At 45.7% G+C, this 19826-nt stretch overlaps 3 annotated features.

Moving 5' to 3' along the window:
• Positions 6852-7555: an enhancer, noted in NCBI's record as "OCT4-NANOG-H3K27ac-H3K4me1 hESC enhancer chr2:45017091-45017794 (GRCh37/hg19 assembly coordinates)". NCBI's record gives its function as "activates a minimal SCP1, AML or CMV promoter by ChIP-STARR-seq in naive H9 embryonic stem cells {active_cell/tissue: H9 hESC(naive)}" and the evidence as "EXISTENCE:reporter gene assay evidence [ECO:0000049][PMID:30033119]".
• Positions 8887-9387: an enhancer, noted in NCBI's record as "H3K4me1 hESC enhancer chr2:45015259-45015759 (GRCh37/hg19 assembly coordinates)". NCBI's record gives its function as "activates a minimal SCP1, AML or CMV promoter by ChIP-STARR-seq in naive H9 embryonic stem cells {active_cell/tissue: H9 hESC(naive)}" and the evidence as "EXISTENCE:reporter gene assay evidence [ECO:0000049][PMID:30033119]".
• Positions 9388-9888: an enhancer, noted in NCBI's record as "H3K4me1 hESC enhancer chr2:45014758-45015258 (GRCh37/hg19 assembly coordinates)". NCBI's record gives its function as "activates a minimal SCP1, AML or CMV promoter by ChIP-STARR-seq in naive H9 embryonic stem cells {active_cell/tissue: H9 hESC(naive)}" and the evidence as "EXISTENCE:reporter gene assay evidence [ECO:0000049][PMID:30033119]".

Raw genomic sequence — 19826 nt, 5'->3', positions numbered from 1 at the left:
CATCAGTAAAAACTTCCTAACTGCCCAACTGGAGTATTCCAGGGATCACGAGGGTAATTTGATATAAATGTAACCCATACATGCTAAGCAAGTCTAAGGGACTGTTATCTATAGAGAGAGCAAGGAATATTAAGTGAGGAATTTTATTATTGACAATTTTAAACACATACTAAAGTACAAGAATTTATAGCCAATAGTTTTAACACACAACCCCCTGCGGCAAGACCACATTGGATTATACTAAATTAATTCTCAAATATGTAGATATAAGTATTTCCGAATATTTAAAGTCTCCTTTAAAAGCACAACCATAGTTCATTACTTTAAAAAATTGGCGGTAGTTTCTCAATCCTACCAATATTGAGGCAATGTTCAAATTTCCTCATTTGGCTTAGAAATGAACTTTGGCAGATGGTGTTTCAAATCAGGATTCAAACAAGGTTAACACCTCGCACTGAGTTGATCAGGGAAGGGACTTTTCCCTAGGGGTTAGGCTAATCTTCTCGGCCCGCCAGGCCTGGGAGACCTCTAGCCAGGGTTTGCTTAGACCCAGCCAAAGCAGTGGTTCCCCATCACCTCTTGACCATTGATTCATCACTTTGGAAGGTCTCTTGGACATTTATCCACTGGTTGAGTAGCCTTTTGAAGGTTTGGAGACCCACAAAAAGTGGGTGCTCGTTGGGGTGCATTTGGGAGAGGTTGGGGGCAGGCAGACAGCTAATGCTTTGCTAAGGTGTGGCTTTTTTTTTTATTTTTTGAGATGGAGTCTCACTCTGTCACCCAGTCTGGAGTGCAGTGGCATGATCTTGACTCACTGCAACCTCCGCCTCCTGGCCTCAAGCAATTCTCCTGCCTTAGCCTCCCAGGTAGCTGGGATTACAGGCGAGCATCACCATGTCTGGCTAATTTTTTATATTTTAGTAGAGACAGGGTTTCACCATGTTGCCCAGGGTGGTCTTGAACTCCTGAGCTCAGGCAATCCACCTGCCTCGACCTCCCAGAGTGCTGGGATTACCGTCTTGAGCCAACACGCCCAGCCCTAAGGTGTGGTTTAAATCAGGGTCTTTAAAAGCAGGCGCTAGAATCGCTGCCTCTTCCTTTTCCAAACCCTCCTCCTCTTCCTCTAAGCCTCATCTTCATCACCAACCCTGTTCTGCTTTTCACCTGCTCCCTCAGCTCAGCCCCTGTAGCACTTAGCAGTCACCACCTTTACCACCATTTTCCCGCAATCATCTGACTTCAATAGAAGCCAACCTCCCTTAAAGAGTTAGCTGTTCTGTACACAATATATATCTTGTCTCTTCGCCAGTTCCTAGACCCAGCAACCTCCCACAGCATCTGGCACATACTTGACCAAAGCACCTAAGTCCTGTTGGTGCCTGACAGGCTTACAAATGGAATCCTTGCAAACTAATATTCTTTAAATACTTGCTTAAAATGTATTAAGTGGGACAGGGCAAGGCTGATTTAATAAATATGCCTCTTCCTATATATATTCAAAATAAGGGATTGATTTCCTAAATGCACTGAACACATCTGAAATTTTTTATTCTTATCAAAATAATGCAAACCTACAGTTACAGATCAAGTAGTATATACTTTTTTTTTTTTGAGACAGAGTTTCGCTCTTGTTGCCCAGGCTGGAGTACAATGGTATGATCTTGGCTCACCGCAGACTCCACCTCCCAGGTTCAAGTGATTCTCCTGCCTCAGCCTCCCTAGTAGCTGGGATTACAGGCATGTGCCACCATGCCCAGCTAATTTTGTATTTTTAGTAGAGACGGGGTTTCTCCATGTTGGTCAGTCTGGTCTCGAACTCCCGACCTCAGGTGATCCACCCTCCTTGGCCTGCCAAAGTGCTGGGATTACAGGCATGAGCCACCGTGCCCAGCCTGCACACTTTTGATTTTTAGTTCCTCTAGTGGATCTAGGGTTGCTAGACTTAGGAGAAAAAAAAAATACAGGATGCCCTGTCAAATTCAAATGTCAGATAAACAATGAATAGATACGTCCCAAATACTGCATAATATTATATTTTATCTGGCCCTAGGTGGATTTCCCCATATAACATATACCCATTATACTTGTAATATACTTTTATTTCTACTTCTTCATTTACCATTTTTTCAGGTATCTGTGGAATTCTGAGTGTGAATTTCAATGTTCAGTATTTAGATATTCCTGTCTTCTATGGTTTGCCTTTGTAACTTTGATAAAATGTTTAAACCTATATTTATGGATCCGTCAACTTTCCCCAGTGCCTCTTGACTATCTGCTTTGCAAGTTGAGGATATTATTACAAATATCCTCTCCTCTAACCTTTCTTTTCCTTTCTACATCCCACCTTCTGCCACTACAGTTGTACTTTTACATTATTAAGGTTAAAGTTTCTATTCTGTCCTGCCACACACCCTAGTTTTTAAATTTTTTTATTATACTTTAAGTTCTATGGTACATATACACAACATGCAGTTTTGTTACATATGTATACATGGGCCATGTTGGTGTGCTGCACCTGTTAACTCATCATTTACATTAGCTATATCTCCTAATGCTATCCCTCCCCCCCTCCCCCCACCCCACAACAGGCCCCGGTGTGTGATGTTCCCCTTCCTGTGTCCAAGTGTTCTCATTGTTCAATTCCCACCTATGAGTGAGAACATGTGGTGTTTGGTTTTCTGTCCTTGTGATAGTTTGCTCAGAATGATGGATTCCAGCTTCATCCATGTCCCTACAAAGGACATGAACTCATCCTTTTTTATGACTGCATAGTATTCCATGGTGTATATGTGCCACAATTTCTTAATCCAGTCTATCATTGATGGACATTTGGGTTGGTTCCAAGTCTCTGCTATTGTGAATAGTGCTGCAGTAAACATACGTGTGCATGTGTCTTTATAGCAGCATGATTTATAATCCTTTGGGTATATACCCAATAATGGGATGGCTGGGTCAAATGGTATTTCTAGTTCTAGATCCTTGAGGAGTTGCCACACTGTCTTCCACAATGGTTGAACTAGTTTATAGTCCCACCAACAGTGTAAAAGCGTTCCTATTTCTCCACATCCTCTCCAGCACCTGTTGTTTCCTGACTTTTTAATGATCGTCATTCTAACTGGTGTGAGATAGTATCTCATTGTGGTTTTGATTTGTATTTCTCTGATGGCCAGTGATGATGAGCATTTTTTCATGTGTCTATTGGCTGCATAAGTGTCTTCTTTTGAGAAGTGTCTGTTCATATCCTTTGCCCGCTTTTTGATGGGGTTAATTTTTTCTTGTAAATTTGTTTAAGTTCTTTGTAGATTCTGGATATTAGCCCTTTGTCAGATGCACACACCCTAGTTTTCTAAGCTTTGTTTAAAGGTTGAGTCTTAAAATGGGAAACTGATCACATTGGCTTCATTGTATTATTATGTAATTCTTATTTACTAATAGTAATATTAGGATTATACTTCCTGCTCTTCAAGTTCAGTGTCATGATCACTGGACCTCTAAAAAGAGTGTATTTCCAGCACCAAGTCAAAAGGATTCTCATTGCTTATACTTCGTCAGTTGCTTCATATCATGTCTCCTAGTTTGCTTCATATTCAGAGCTTGACTTTTTTTTAACCCAATTTTTCTCCATAGGGTTTCCAGATGCCTTTATTCTTGCTTGCATTATTTGCTATTATGTTAATTTTCTTTTCATTTTTGTTTTTTTGTGTGTGTTTTTTTTTTTTTTTTTTTTTTTTTAGAGACAGGGTCTTGCTATGTTGCCCAGGCTGAGCTTGAACTCCTGGGCTCAAACTATCATCCCACCTTAGCCTCCTGGGTAGCTGAGACTACAGGCACATGCCACCATGCTCAGCTCTGTGTTATTTTAAATCTGAATTTTAAATGAATTATGTTCTCTAATCTACTAATAATTGCCTTTCCCCTGTTCCTCTTAAGTCTTCTGTGATCCCACAGCAGTATGGCTGGCTGCTCTCCAAGGTGCTGCACAGCTGTCCCCTTGAGACTCTTTATGGCTTTCCTAAGTTCAACCTCAGATTTTCTTCTCTCTCCCATCTTATGTCCTGCTTTTGCAGGAGTAACTTGCTCCAGCAACTTCCTAAGAAAGGGCCTGTTGGAGGTAAACTTTCTGTACCTGTTTGTTTGAAAACTCTCCTGTTGTCCTCTTCTTGGTGGATAGTTTGTGTATAGGATTCTAGACTGAAAACCGTTTTCCCTCAGCACCCATTATTTTCCAGCATCTAGTGTTGCTGAGAAGTCTGATGCCATTCTGACTGCTGCTTATTTGTAGGTGTCCGGCTCTTTTGCTTTGGAGACTTTTACAATCTATTCTTTTTACTTCATGTTTTGAAATTTTACCTGGATTATGTCTAGTTGTGGATCTTTTTCATAGGACTATTCTCATTCAGCCCTAGGAAATGTTCTTCTGTGCTTTGAGAATTCTCTCCCCTTTACTTCTTTTTTCTTTCTAGGATGCCTTTTAGATCTTGGATTATTACATATGTCTTTTATTATTTTCCCCCTCATATTTTCTCATTTTGTCTTTCTGCTCTATGCTTTGTGATATTTCAACTTTTTAGTCCTTCTACTATTTTATTTCACCAATTGCATTTTTAATTTCCAAGAGCTCATTCTGTTCTCAAGATCCCATTTTTAGAATGTATTATCTTCCCAATTCTGTTCGAGAATTCTAAAAAAATTTTTGAGTAATCTGTTCTTTAAGTTCTGTTTCCCCAGAAGTGATATTTTTCTGTTTTTTTTTTTTAAGAGATAGGGTCTTGCTACATTGTCCAAACTGTCCTCAAACTTCCAGGCTCAAGTGATTCTCCTGCCTCAGCCTCCAGAATAGCTAGGACTACAGATACATGCCACTGCACTAGGTAACTGCTTGTTTATTTTCATATATTTCATTCATGCAAATGGTTCTCCTCATTTCTCCATTTATGCCTCCTCAGTCATCACAGTAAACCCAAATTTTGGAAAATAAAAGCACTATAGATGGTGTGGATTTACTGTGCAATTGTGTACATACCTTTCCTGAATCTTTCTGAGGTTTCCTGGGTGAACCGGCTTCCATCTTCTCTGTTGCCCCTCCATAGAGCATTTTATGTGGCCGTCATCAGCTGTTTCCTCTAATAATGTCTCCCATACACTTCACATATTCCAGAAATCTGCTTACATCTCTTATCTGTGGGTGACCTCCTCCTCCTCTCCTTAGTATTATGGGTTTATGTCTTTTTGGAATTCTAAAACTATTTCAGCAAGATTTCTGGAAAGATGGGAGGCAAATGTGTGTACTGGGTTTCCATCTTGAACAATAAGGAGATTCAGAAAACTATCTTTTTGAACATTGTTTTTTCATTTTTAATTGCTTCATCTTTCAGCAGCTTGGTGCCCAGGTCCAGGAGGTTCACCTGAGGTTTAGGGTTTCCTCAGGAATTGTTTACAGATTCTCGGCATCCCGTGGCCCTCTTACAAATGATACACATAAACTAGGAACACTTCCCAGGTTCAAGCGATTCTCCTGCCTCAGCCTCCTGAATAGATGCGATTCCTAGGCACAAGCCACCATGCTCACCTAATTTTTGTATTTTTAGTTTTTCCCAGATTCCCTGCTTTTCCCACATTTCTTCTTGTGCAGGCTTGTGATCCCCAGGAGTCAGAATGAAGGAGGCCAGCTTCCTTGTATACAACTTGTACACATCTTGTTGAGACACTCTACCACACTGGTGGGCTTCCCTTCACCCTGCATTCCCTTCTGCTCCCATCATCAGCCTGGCTTAGCCCCTTGGTACCCTTCAGATCTCTGCTGTGGCTCATTTCCTTAGAAAAGTCCTCCCTGTTCCCCTTGACTCAGTGAAGTCCCTGTATTGTATGGGCTCATGGGACAATTATTCTCTCCTTTGCAGCACTTAGCTCAGTTTGTGGTCCTTGTGAAGCAAGATCATGTCTATTTTCTGTTTCACCTTAATGTCCTGAGCATTTGAACACAGTGCCTGGCACATAGCAGGTAGGTGATAAATAGCTGCTCAATGAAGAATGATCATTGATATGGTTTGGCTGTGTCCCCACCCAAATCTCATCTTGAATTGTAGCTCCCATAATTCCCATGTGTTGTGGAAGGGACCCAGTGGGAGACAATTGAATCATGGTGGCGGTTCCCCCATGCTGTTCTCGTGGTAGTTAATAAGTCTCATGAGATCTGATGGTTTTATAAGGGGTTTCACTTTTGCTTGGCTCCCATTCTCTCTTGCCACCGCCATGTAAGAAGTGCCTTTTGCCTTCCACCATGATTGTGAGGCCTCCTCAGCCACATGGGATTGTGAGTCCATTAAACCTCTTTTTCTTTATAAATTACCCAGTCTTGGGTATGTTTTCATCGGCAGTGTGAAAATGGACTAATACAATCAGGAAGATGGCCACAGAGAAACATTCCTTCAGCTCATTATAATTTCAGAAATAACTCACACCTACCCCACATACCCCCCACCTTAGAGGCCTGAAATTCAACAGGGCACAAACATCTGGGCCCTCAGCAGCTTTGACCAAGGCTGGATCACAGACTTCCCAGGACTCTTTCGTGAAGCCTCAGCCCCATCCATGATGAGCCCACAGGTCAGGGAGGCGGATTCTGGTGCAGCCCACAGGGCTGGAAGCTCATATGGCCTTCTGACCACCCAAGCCTTCTGCAGGGACTTTGTTCAGGCAAAGTTGTGACTTGACTCTGGACAAGGCCGGTGAAGCTTGGCAGGAAGGAAAACAACAGACTCCCCCCAAAGGGCCAGGAGGAATTTTCTTAGCTGAGGCCACAGACCCCCAGGGGGGTGGGCCCAGAGGCTGCTCAGACAACCAATGGCGACAACCCTGGCTGGGAACAATAGAGCCCCACACCTCAGCTACCTTTTGGGCTCTGGCTTCCCAGTGGTGAAGCCTTATTAAATTTGGGATTACCATGTGTAAAGCACAGTCTGAATTTTGTTTGCTCTGCCATGTAACTTGCCTTTCTAAACACTCAGTCAGAGCTGCAGTTAATCTACTGACCATGGGCTTAACCGGCAGGTGGCCAGGAGGCCCCCACCAAATTCCTCCTGACCCTTTGTTACCTGGCCTGGAAAGGAGAGACTTCTTGTTTGGGAAGTGTTTCTCCTCCCCCCGAACATTTTCAGTATTAAGAGTCTTTTGTCACCATAAATCTGGAGCGGGGATTATGACGGGCAGGCTGTCACCCAGATTGTTTCCTCCAGAGGATAATGGGAAAAGTTTGCGGCCTGGCCTAATGAAACCTTTCTTCCAGGGACAATGCCATTTCCATTAAATTAAAGCTCAAGCCTTAACAATGCCCCAGAACAAACCCAATTTGAATATTTAATTTGGGATGGAAGGAGCTGGGTAAACACCTCACTCCCATCAGCCCCTTTCTGGAGACCCCTTGCAGCAAACTCAAGGGAAGAGTCCTGGGTTGTTGATGTCAGGTTAGCACCTTTCGTTGCCAGTATCAAAGGTGGAAAATTCCAAATCATTAATATTCAATTGACAATAAAGAATGTAGTCCTAACTGAAAAAAAAATCTAGGAAGTGAATACTGATCAGATAAGCAATGAACTAAAATCTGTTTGTTCTGAGCCTTGCAAGCTACAAAGCCTTTAGGATGGGAGCTCTCTCCCCCAGCCCACTGCTCACGACGCACAGGCAGCCCAGGGGTCCTCTGAGAATTGTATGCTGCCTCACACCGCACCCAAATTCCTCCCTCTTTGATTCTTCAAAGAGAATGTCTAAAAGGAAGAAATGTCTAAATGTGCTTGATTTAAAAAAAAATTACTGTAGTGACGTCAAGTGCACTGTAAGGGAACAGAATTTTTTGTATCTTCCTTCTCTACTTGGCAACCAGGCAGCCAGGCAACCAGCACCTGTGAGACAGAGTTCTGTGTGGGCTCCTCTGCATCAAGAGTCAGAATTACCCAGGAATAATTTATCCGCAGATTCTCTGTGCAGTTTTCTTGTCCCTACTCACAGCACATCAGCTGATTGTTGGGCTTCTTTTTGTCCCTTGCTTCCTGGTGAAGACCCATCTTTTGTTCTGTCCTCCCGAAGATGGAAATCAGTCCTAACATGTTGATGTGCTGGCTCTATTTCCTTAACACTTCTATTTTCCTGAATTTTCGTAGTCTTTACATCTAGCACAGATGATCAAAAGCAGCTTAATCACACTGTAAGGGGGTGAATCACTGACACATCTAATTTCTCTGTCAAAAATTTGGTTTCTACCTTGCCAATGAAGAATGGAAGGGAATATGGGAAAGAAATATCTTTTGGCATTGCTGTCCTGGAGATTCTAGAGCCTCACTTTGGTCCTACTGTGCAGGCCGCAAGTGACCCCACGACGTGGGTGGGTGCAGCTGCTGGAGCAGTGCTGATATCACAGGAGAAATTCTAACCACGCTCCCAACACCTATTTCAGGGGTTGGCAATCAAGTCCCAAGGCAAAAGTGACATCTAAGGTGATTTTAGAGATGGCTACCAGGATCACCCAACCATTGGCTACTGCTTGAGGTCTTGGGAGGCCAGAGCCTAAAGCCCAGGGAAAGCTTCTTTTCAGGCAGGGTGTGGGTGTGGGTGTGCGCATGAGCACCATGTGTGAGGCAGGGAATGAAGGCTTGGCACGCCACTTTAGATGGTGGCTGAGAATCAGATGTGCCTGCATCTGGTGGGATAGACTGTCTCACATCTGCCCAACTCATACACATCACAGCCCCAGCTCTAAGGGCTCATTGCTCAGAAACAGTTTTCAACTCTTCGTTTGCTTTAACAGCGCTGCCAGGCTGAGAACCAAGCATGGGTGATGCCACCCTTCTCTTCCTTTGCATTTGAATTCACCTGGAAGCCTTCTTTTTAGGTGGGCCTTTCCTCTGGGCAAGAAGGTCACAGGCAGAGTGGCCAGGATTCATCTGGGCAGAGGTGGCCAGGCAGCCAACTGGCCTCTCCTTGGGTAGGTTGTCTCACCTCTCTGAGCCTCATTTTCCTGATTTAATACAGTTAGGTGCCCAATGAATCTGAGCTCCTATTTCCCTTGGGGTCCTTCCAATTCTCAGCCAGTGTTTTCTGTCCTTTAAATAGTTCCATGATTATAAAAAATGTGACCTCCAAAGACAATTTTTAGAGTTGCTCTTAGGAGGCTTGTGACATTTCACCAACTCCGGAATGCAGCTCAGAAAAGAGGGTAGAGATGGAGCCAGAGATATGTCTTGAGTGGGCACTTGTCCAGCCTCCTCCCTCTGGCCTTCCTGTCAATCAGCCATGCTGTACCGACTGCTCACCAGGTGCCAGTTGCTGCCACACCTCAGCGAGTGAGGCACTGACCCCACCTCCGGGCAGCACATCGGCCCTGGGCTCCAAGGTCTAACAGGGAGCCCTAGGAAAGTCCTGCACTCCTGCACTCGGCACACACACCAAAGACAGACCTAGGACTGTGCTTCCACATCTGCACCCACCAGTGCAGGAGCATCATCACTCCAGGTCCTTGGATGGGTGACATCAGGTAAGCAGCCCCCAGGGCCCCCATTGCTCCCAAATAAATTCCAGCGTTCTTACTCTCCTTTCTCACTCCCCAGCCCTCAGCTGGCTCTGTGTGTCCTCCTGTCCCCGCCACTACCTGCCAGCGTGGCTGCAACAGCCTCTCACTGGGCCTTCTTCCTCACCCATTCTCCTCACAGCAGCCAGAGTAAGGTTCTAAGAATCAGGCCGGGCGTGGTGGCTCAGGCCTATAATCCCAGCACTTTGGGAGGTCGAGGTGGGTGGATTGCCTGAGCTCAGGAGTTAGAGACCAGACTGGGCAATATGGTGAAATCCCATCTCTTCTAAAAATACAAAATTAGCCGGGCGTGGTGGCATGTGCCTGTAATCTCAGCTGCTCAGGAGGCTGAGGCAGGAGAACCACTTGAACCAAGAGGTGGGGGGTGCAATGAGCCAAGATCGCACCACTGCACTCTAGCCTGGGCAACAGAGTGAGACTCTGTCTCAAAAAAATAAAAAAATAGTCCAGGCGCAGTGGCTCATGCCTGTAATCCTAGCACTTTGGGAGGCCGAGGTGGGTGGATCACGAGGTCAGGAGTTCGAGACTAGCCTGGCCAAGATGGCGAAACCCTCTACTAAAAATACAAAATTAGCTGGGTACAGTGGCAGGTGCCTGTAATCCCAGCTACTCAGAAGGCTGACGCAGGAGAATCACTTGAACCCAGGAGGCGGAGGTTGCAGTGTGCCGAGATCATGCCACTGCACTCTAGCCTGGGTGACAGAGCAAGACTCCATCTCAAAATATAAAATAAAATAAAAAATAAACATAAGAATCAGACCATGCCACTCCCCTTCTTAGGATCCTCCAGTGGCTTCCCATTGAAATGAAGTCCAGCTTCCCCTCCATGGCCTACAAGGTCCTGCACTGCACAACTGGGCCTGCACACTCCCTGGCGGATGCCACTCCCTGGCAGATGCCTTGCTCTGCTCCCTGCGCGTCTGCAGGTTTGCTCCTGCCTCAGGGCCTTTGCACTTGCCACTGCCTCTGCCTGGAATGGCCTTCCCCTCAATCTTGAAAGGTTGACTTCATTGTCATTTAGGTTTCAACTAAAATGCTGCTGCCTTAGAGACAGCTTCCTTGACCTCGGATCCAAAGGAAGCCCAGTCACTTTCTAAAACATCACCTCGTTTTATTGTCCTCACTGCCTCTATCCCAATTTGAACCAGTCTTATTTGTCTACATTTCTGTTGCCTTTCTCCTCCTACTGAAGTGTTGGCTCCTTGAGATCAGGGACTTTGTCCATCTTGTTCGCTGCTCTCCCCGGACTGTCTGAAACCTCTTAGGCATTCAGGGAGTATCTATGAGATGAGTGAATGGATAATCTTTACCCCATTGAACTCCACATTCCTGCCAAGTCAAACATTTCCTGAAATCTTCCTGTGGGCCTCAGCTCATGAGCTTCAAGCCCCTGGTATGCCCTTTCTTTCCACTTCCACAACTTTCAAAGGCTAATACCAATTCTGCCTCCTCTCCCATAAGGTAGTTGCTCCTTCTTCTGATCTCTAACAACCCTCAGCCAGTCCCCTCCTCTTCCATTGATCTGGCATATTTGAGGACATGCTCTGTCTCCCCTACTAGATTATAAGCACCACATGGGCAGGGCCTTCCACCTGCTTTGTTCTCACATTCCTGTGTGCAGGAAGGACTTGCAGAAGGTGTGTGCCAGGTTGAATGAGGACAGCCCTCCTGGCCCCAGATCACTCTGTGAAGCTGATGAATGTTTGTTTTGTTTTGTTTTGTTTTTGAGATAGAGTTTCACTTTTGTTGCCCAGGCTGGAGTGCAGTGGCACAATCTCGGGTCACCGCAACCTCAGCCTTCTGGGTTCAAGCACTTCTCCTGCCTCAGCCCTCCCGAGTAGCTGAGATTACAGGCATGCACCGCCATGCCCGGCTAATTATGTATTTTTAGTAGAGACAGGGTTTCTCCATGTTGGTCAGGCTGGTCTTGAACTCCCAACCTTAGGTGATCCACCTGCCTCAGCCTCCCAAAGTGCTGGGATTACAGGTATGAGTCACATGCTCGGCCAGGAGTGGTTTCTTCACACTAAAATTCTCCCATTTCTGTTCCTTTGCCAGTTCTTGGGGTCCCTTTACTTCATCTGGGTTCCCAGTGTCCTCTGCTCCCCTCCCCCACAGTGAGGCCTATTCTCAGCTCGTGTACACAAAGGACCATGAGAGTATTACCTCTCTTGAGGACAGCCTAGCTCACAGCAACCCCTCACTAGAGCTAAGGGGCAGATGTTCTCTTGGTGGAATTTTCACATCAGTGACACATTTTTCCCACCCAAGAGCTTTCCTGTGCTCCTGAAATCTTGCCACATCAGCAAGTACTTGCTTTGCATCTCTCCAGCAATGTGGGGTGCCACGACCTGGACAGAGGCCAGCTCTGGCCTCCATGGGTCTTTCCTTGAGAAACCCCAAGAGCAGACATTTCCACTGCAGTGCTGGATGCCCAGAAAAACAATGTGAATCAAAGCCTAGGGTTTCTATCTATGGAAAGAGCAGAAATGGACTTCTTATCCTGTGGCCCCAACCTATTTAGCCACTGCCACCTCCCTCTCCGAGAGTATAAGAGGATGTTAGACAGGGCCCATCTCGGGGGCCAAGAAGGCAATGGGATACAAAGACCCCCCACCCTCCATGTTCCCAAGTGCTATGAACTTGCAGCCTGTGCAGCAGAAAGTGGAAGCATGTGGAGGGTCCATCCCCTCTCCAGGGCCCGTCCTCTCACGTCTCTGCCTATCCCAGGCCTTAAGGTGGGGTGGGGTCGGCTGAGGCAGATCACAGGCAAAGGGACTTGAATTCCTACAGCATTAGGTGCAGATAAGGCTGACCAACCTTATCTTCACCTGAAACTTTGAGGAACCGCCAGCAACTCCTCTTTCTTTGGGGTCAAACACACTTAGAAGTGGTTTGCTCCCCTTTCCCCATTGTCACTCACGTCGCCAGTCCAAGCTGCTATTTTCTCTCACCAAGCCTACGTTATAGGAGTCTCCTAACTGGACTCTCCACTTCTAGCCCACTTTCCATCCAGCATTCAGAGTGACCTCTAAAAAATGTGCACCTCGTTATGTCATTCTCATGACTATGAACCCTTCAATGGCTGCTCGGCCTCCAAATAAAATCCAAACTCACTAAATCCTGCACATTCTGGCCCTTGCCCAGCTCAAGTCCCTCTGCATGGGGCCCCCACCACCCTGGCCAGCTTCCCATGCCTCAGAGGCAGTAGACTCAGCTCCCCCAGGGCCTCCACCACCCACTCCCTCTGTCTGGGCTCCTCGCCCCACCACCATCTCTTCACGGGACTGGCTCCTTCTCACCAGTTGAGACCCTCCTCAGGGAGGCTTTCTCTGACCATCCTGTCTGAAGTAGGGCCCCACTATTATTCTCTACCAATAGGACCTTATCTGTTTTTCATAGAATTTATCATATAATTTACTAATAATTATTATTTTTTGAGATAGAGTCTCACTCTGCCACTCAGGCTGGAGTACAGTGGCTCAATCTCGGCTCACTGCAATCTCTGCCTCCTGGGTTCAAGCGATTCTCCCAGTTCAGTCTCTGGAGTAGCTAGGACTACAGGCGCACGCCAGCACAACCAGAAAATTTTTTTACTTTTCATAAATACAGGGTCTTGCCATGTTGCGCAGGCTGGTCTCAAATACCTGGGCTCAAGTGATCCACCTGTCTTGGCCTCCTAAAGTGCTGGGATTATACGCGTGAGCCACCACACCTGGCTGGTAATTTATAATTATTTTATAAATGCACTGGCACATTTCAAATGCAAGCTATGTGTGGGCGGTCATTTTGTCTTTCTCACTTGGCTCCAACATGTAATAGGGTTTTTCGTGTTCAGTATTAGATTCCCCAGGGTGCCTAGCACACAACAGGTAGAGGCATACCTCAGAGATATTGTGAGCTTGATTCCAGATCACCACAGTAAAGCCAATGTCACAATAAAGTGAGTCACATGAATGTTTTGGTTTCCCAGCACACAGAAAACTTATGTTTACACTATACTGTAGTCTATTAAGTTTACAATAGTATTGTCTTCAAAATGTACATCTGTAATTAAAAATAGTTTATTGCTCAAAAATGCTAACATTCATCTGAGCCTTCAGTGAGTCACAGTCTTTGCTGGTGGAGGGTCTTGCCTCGATGTCGATGGCTGCTGACAGATCAGGGTGGTGGTTGCTGAAGGTTCGGGAGGTTGTGGCAACTTCTTAAAATAAGACACTAAAGTTTGCTGTATCAGTTGACTCTTACTTTCAGGAAAGATTTCTCTGTAGCATGCAATGCTGACTGATAGCATTTTACCCACGGTAAAATTTCTTTCAAAATTGGAGACAATCCTTTGAAACCCTGCCCCTGCTTTATCAACTCAGTTTATGTAATATTCTTCATTCTTTGTCATTATTTCAACAGCATCTTCACCCCGAAGTAGATTCCATCTCAAGAAATGACTTTTGTTGATCTCTAAGAAGTGACTCCTCATCCACTCAAGTTTCATCATGTGATTGTAGCAATTCAGTCGCATCTTCAAGCTCCACTTTTTATTTATTTATTTTTTGAGACAGAGTCTCGCTCTGTCGCCCACGCTGGAGTGCAGTGGCACAATCTCGGCTCACTGCAAGCTCCGCCTCCCGGGTTCATGCCATTCTCCTGCCTTAGCCTCTGGAGTAGCTGGGACTACAGGCGCCCACCACAACACCCGGCTAATTTTTATATTTTTTAGTAGAGACGGGGTTTCACCATGTTAGCCAGGATGGTTTCAATCTCCTGACCTCATGATCTGCCCGCCTCGGCCTCCCAAAGTGCTGGGATTACAGGCGTGAGCCACTGCACCCGGCCCAGGCTCCACTTCTAATTCTAGTTTTCTTGCTATTTCCACTACATCTGCAGTGACTTCCTCCACTGAAGTCTTGCACCCCTCAAAATCATCCACAAATGCTAAGATCAATTTGTTCCAAATTCCTCTTAACTTTTATATTTTTACCTCCTCTCATGACTCAAAAACGTTCTTAATGGCATCTAGAATAATGAACCCTTTCCAAAAAGTTATCAATTGACTTTGCCCAGATCCATAAGAGGAATCACTATCTATGGCAGCTATAGCCTTGCTTAAGGTATTTCTGAAATAAGACTTGAAAGTCAGAATTACTCCTTGATCCATGGGCTACCAAATGGATGTTGTGTTAGCAGGCATGAAAACAACATTAATCTCCATCAGAGCCCTCAGGTGACAGGTGCATTGTCAATGAATATTTTGTCAATGAGTATTTTGAAAGGGATGTTTATTTTGAGCAGTAGGTCTCAACAGTGGGCTTAAAATATTTAGTAAACCATGCTGTAAACAGATGTGCTGTCATCCAGGCTTTATTGTTCCATTGACAGAACACAGGTGGAATAGATACAGCATAATTCCTAAGGGCCATAGGGTTTGCAGAATGGTAAATGAGCACTGGCTCTGGCTTAAAGTCACCAAAAGCTGCATTAGCCCCTAAAAAAAGAGTCAGCTTGTCCTCTGAAGCCAGGCATTGGCTTCTTCTCTCTAGCTATGAAAATCCTAGATGGTATCTTCTTTCAATAGAAGGCTGTTTCATCTACATGGAAAGTCTATTGTTTAGTGTAGCCACCTTCATCAGTGATCTTAGCTAGATCTTCTGGATAACTTGCTGCTTTGCCTTGCACTTTTATGTTCTGGAAATGACTTCTTTCCTTAAACCTCATGAATCAACCTCCACTAGCTTCAAACATTTCTTCTGAAGATTCCACACCTCTCAGCCTTCATAGAACTGAAGAGAGTTGGGGACTTGCTCTGGATTAGGCTTTGGCTTAAGGGAATGTTGTGGCTGGTTTGATATTCTATCCAGACCACTCAAACTTTCTCCCTATCAGCAATAAGGCTGTTTTGTTTTCTTATCATTCCTGTGTTCACTGGAGTATCACTTTTAATTTCCTTCAAGAACTTTTCCTTTGCATTCACACCTTGGCTAACTGGTACAAGAGGCCTAGCTTTCAGCCTGTCTCAACATTTGACACGTCTTCCTCATGAAGCTTAACCATTTCCAGCTTTTGATTTAAAGTGAGAGACATGCAACTCTTCCTTTCACTTGAACAGTTAAACGCCATTGCAGGGTTATTAACTGGGCTAATTTCAATATTGTTGTGTCTCAGAGAATAGGGAGGCCCAGAAGAGGGAGGGAGACAGGGAACAGCCTTTCATTGGAGCAGTTAGAGCACCCAGAACATTTATTAAGTTCACCATCTTATCTAGCTACAGTTTGTGGTGCCCTAAAACAATTACAATAGTATCATCAAAGATTACTGATCACAGATCACCATAACAATTTAATAGTGAAAAAGTAAATATTGTGAGAATTACAAAAATGTGACAGAGACATGAAGTGAGCACATGCTGTTGGAAAAATGGAGCCAATAGACTTGCTCAAAGAATTGTCACAGACCTTCAATTTGGAAAAAAAAAAAAATGCAATTATCTCCTAAGTGTGATAAAAGTATGTCTGTATTGATTAGATCAGTGAATAAAAATGGAGGAGTTTGGGCCCCCACCACTCCTCCCTTCCCCCGCAGTGGTACCTGAGGTAGCCCTGCAATGTTCAGCCTGGGGCAGAGGAAGGTGAAACATTGGGATCCACCCCAGAACCTCATGGGAGAAAGTCCCCTGCAATGTATTACATATTCTCTAGGGCCAAGCTAAATGTCTGACAACTCTCTGACAGTACCAGAGAATTCTAACTCCCTGAGGTGGCCAATATCTCTGGTCCTCATAATAGAATGTTTTTTATCTCAAATACTTCAGAAGTTAGCATGAACTGGGAATTCAAATTATGTCGTTCAGCTCTCCTATGTTACAGAAGAGGAAACTGATGTCCACAGAGATTAAGCAGCTTGCCTACAATCACCAGCTTGGTACTGGTAGAGTCCAGGCTGGACTAGGTATTCTGATTCAAGGTTCATTGTTCTTTCTCCTGTAGCCCACTTTCTCTGGTGTCCTCTCTCAGTAGCCTGAGAGTGATGTGCCTCTGTAATAGGTTCAATTTCTGAAGGGTAAATGAGGCCTGTGGTACTTGCATCCTATTTTTGTGTTTTTGAAATGTTAGTCACTATGTAACTCACCACATTTTAGGCAAAACATTGTATCAAAAGTTAAACGTAAGGACGCAGAAAAGTACCCCCAGAGAATAGATCTAGAACTGCATGAGTTATCGGTTGCTCATCACTTAGTTAACAGACTGCCCCAAATGTAGTTGCTTTAAAACACCACCATTTTTAGCTCATGTTCTGTGAGCAGGCAATTTGGGTTGAGCTCAGCTGGGCAGTTCTTCTGCTGGCTCACCTGGCCCACTCACACAGCTGCAGCCAGAGCTGCATCTCCCAGGGGCTGTTTGGTCCTCGTTTTCTGTTCACTCCCAGGAAAAAAGAGTTGAGCCTGCAATACTTTATCTGGTAAGACAAGTCTGCGACTGAGACAACCAAGCAGGCCAACCCTCGCTGTTCCTGGGAGAGCCACTGCCGTTCAGTGGCTCATGGCTGAATAATGGGGGTGACTAGGCCACATGTCTCCACTGTCTAGCAGCACAGCCTGGGTTTTTTCACATGGTAGCTGGGTTCCAAAAACATCAAGATAGGACAAACCTCAATGCACAAGTGATTTTCAAACCTCCGCTTGTACTCATGTTTACTAATGTCTCCTTGGCCAAAGCAAGCCAAGCCAAGTTCAGAATCAAGGAGTGAAGAAAGAGTCCATTTCTTGATGGAAGGAGCTGGAAAGTACTGTTGCTATTCCCCAACCCCACCAATCTACCACAAGGGTAGAGCTGGATAAATACCTACAGTATCATATTCATATTGAGATTATTGTAACCACTGATGGTTTATCTAGTCTCTTGGGGGTGAGGGTGTGTGTGAGAGGACCCAGAAGCAGCACCTGGCTGTGAGGTGAGGGAAAACCACTAACAGCTGGCAGAAATGCAAGCTGGAGACTCAAAACCTCTGTCACCCAGCCCAGAGCCGAGGTTCTCATCTTATGGGGCAGAAGGTGGGCCAACCAGGAGTATCCCTGGAGAGAGGAAAGATCTCTGGACACTCAGAAGCTGTGAGCGGCTTCATTCTCCTCCAAGCTGCTTCATACTTGCTCTCGCTTGGCATCATGAGATGCTGCTTGAGAGAGAGACAGAGGGACAGTGAGAGATCCACTCAAAATGTAGGCTGGATCAGGGATGTGGCCTCTGCTCCTAAAAATAAAGCCTGTGGAGGAAAATGAAGGCTAATGTACCTGGAGGTGGAACCATAGGTCAGGTGGGCAAAGCTTTTAAATGTACTGCCTTCTGGGTTGGGAACAGCATGGTGACATTCCCTGAAGCTCAAGGAGAGCTCGGCCATCAGAAGGCAGACTGCAGATCAAGACAGTGATGGCCTGAGCTCACTTTCCGACCTAGTCTGACAGTCACATCGTGTTCAGCTTCTACCTTTCTCACATTGGTAGGCTGCAAACCATCAAAAAGTAGAATTTCATATACAAAGCCGAGTCCTTATTCTAGATTGCACAGGTGATGCCCAGACAACAAGCCAACATTTTCAGATCCCACCGCCCAGCTTTCACCATGGACCTGGCCTGGGATGGTGCGGCCTCGGTGCCCACCGGGAAGGCAGAGTGGCCCAGCGTGGGCGGCAGAGGTGAGGGAGGGAACGCTGCTCTGAGGCCTTTTTCTTGTAGCTCCAGACAAATTAAAAACCTCCTTACCAGCCATTCATTCTGAGGAGGCCTCTTCCTTCCTCCACAGGGGGGCTGCTGTGTTGGAAGCCGATCGGATTCAGGGAGGCTGGGCCTCCCGGAGCTCTCAAGGAGGGGGAGCGGCAAGAATGGAAAGAGAGAGGCCCTAACCCTGAAGAGATTGGCAGGCAGGGAGTGGGGGCAAAGTGCAGCCCAGGTCACTGGGAAAAAAGAAATCTCAAAGTAAGGGAGTGGGGGAAAGTTCCACTTTCAGCCTAATTATGAAAGAGGCCTCGGTAGAGAGGGGCGGGGGAGCCCAAAGAAGAGAGAAAAGGGAAGTGAGATGTTGCAGAGAGCAGAAAGAGATTCTCAGGGGGCACAGGCTATTGAAGGAACGCAGGCAGGGAAAGGTGCCGCCTCTTCAAACGTGGGTCTGTTATAACTGATTTTGAGAGACCTGGAAGCATGTTCGCCTGGGACTCCCAAAGAGGGAGGGCAAAATGCCCTATTAAGGGTGGGACGAATTGATTTCCCAAAGAAGCACAGCACCATTTCCTCCAAATGCCCTCTGCAGTCCTCCTTAATCTGCCCTGGAGGCAGCAGGTGACCTCTGCACAGGCCCCTGGAGGCGCCTTTGTTCGGGGGCATTCTGCGGCCCGCCCCGCCCCCTCCCCTTGCACCTGGGCAGCAGCCTCAAAATGCACTTGTCCACCCTTGGCCGGCTCCCGTGGTGGGATGGCGGATGCCTTTGTATGTGAAAAGCCACGAGCCCTCCAACTCCTGTTTTCCCTTCGGCTTGACACATTCACTAATGTATTTCCTGTTCACTCCCAGGAGAAAAAAAGAGTGCCTGCAATACTTTATCTGGTAAGACAAGTCTGTGACTGAGACTACCAAGCGGGCCAACCCTTGCTGTTCCTGGGAGAGCCACTGCCATTCAGAAAGCTTGGCTCTGCCCTCGAATCCCCAAGTGTTCCCTGCCGGGTTCTAATCCAAGCCCTCTGAGGTTTGCTAATTTAATTGTGTAATGGTCCACACCTGAGACATTCCCTGAACTATCTTTAGGACACTACTTAGCCTAAAAGAAAGACAAATAAGAGTATTAAGACAGGGACTTAGACATTGAAAGCTTTTACCATCTCCAAAACATCTGAGTCAAGCAGAAGAAAACGGGGTGGGAGGATGAGGGGTGGCCTCAAAGTCAGAACAAGCAACAAGAAGTAAATAAAGTTCTTGCTAAGTGAGTCTGAAATATGTATTTAGCCCTTGTAAATTAAATAACACTGGTTTTTAAAGAGTGATTCTCCGAACATCTATTATTCACATCAGTAGGACAGACGGTAAGCCACTGTAAGATTTATAGAAACTAAAAGACTTCCCATGCTAAAGGTTAATGAAAGTGTAATTTGAATCATGAAATCTTTATGTGTCGGCTCAATTTACACCGAGGGCTCATTAAGGATGCGTTTGGTACAGCGGGCGGCAGGTGACGTCACATTAGTATTTAAATGGGCGGGGCCAGGCTGC

This window comes from Homo sapiens, chromosome 2 (genome assembly GCF_000001405.40).
Source record: "Homo sapiens chromosome 2, GRCh38.p14 Primary Assembly".
Lineage (NCBI taxonomy): Eukaryota > Metazoa > Chordata > Mammalia > Primates > Hominidae > Homo > Homo sapiens.
Note: the sequence above shows the minus strand (reverse complement) of the source record. Positions and strands in the feature narration are given on the sequence as shown.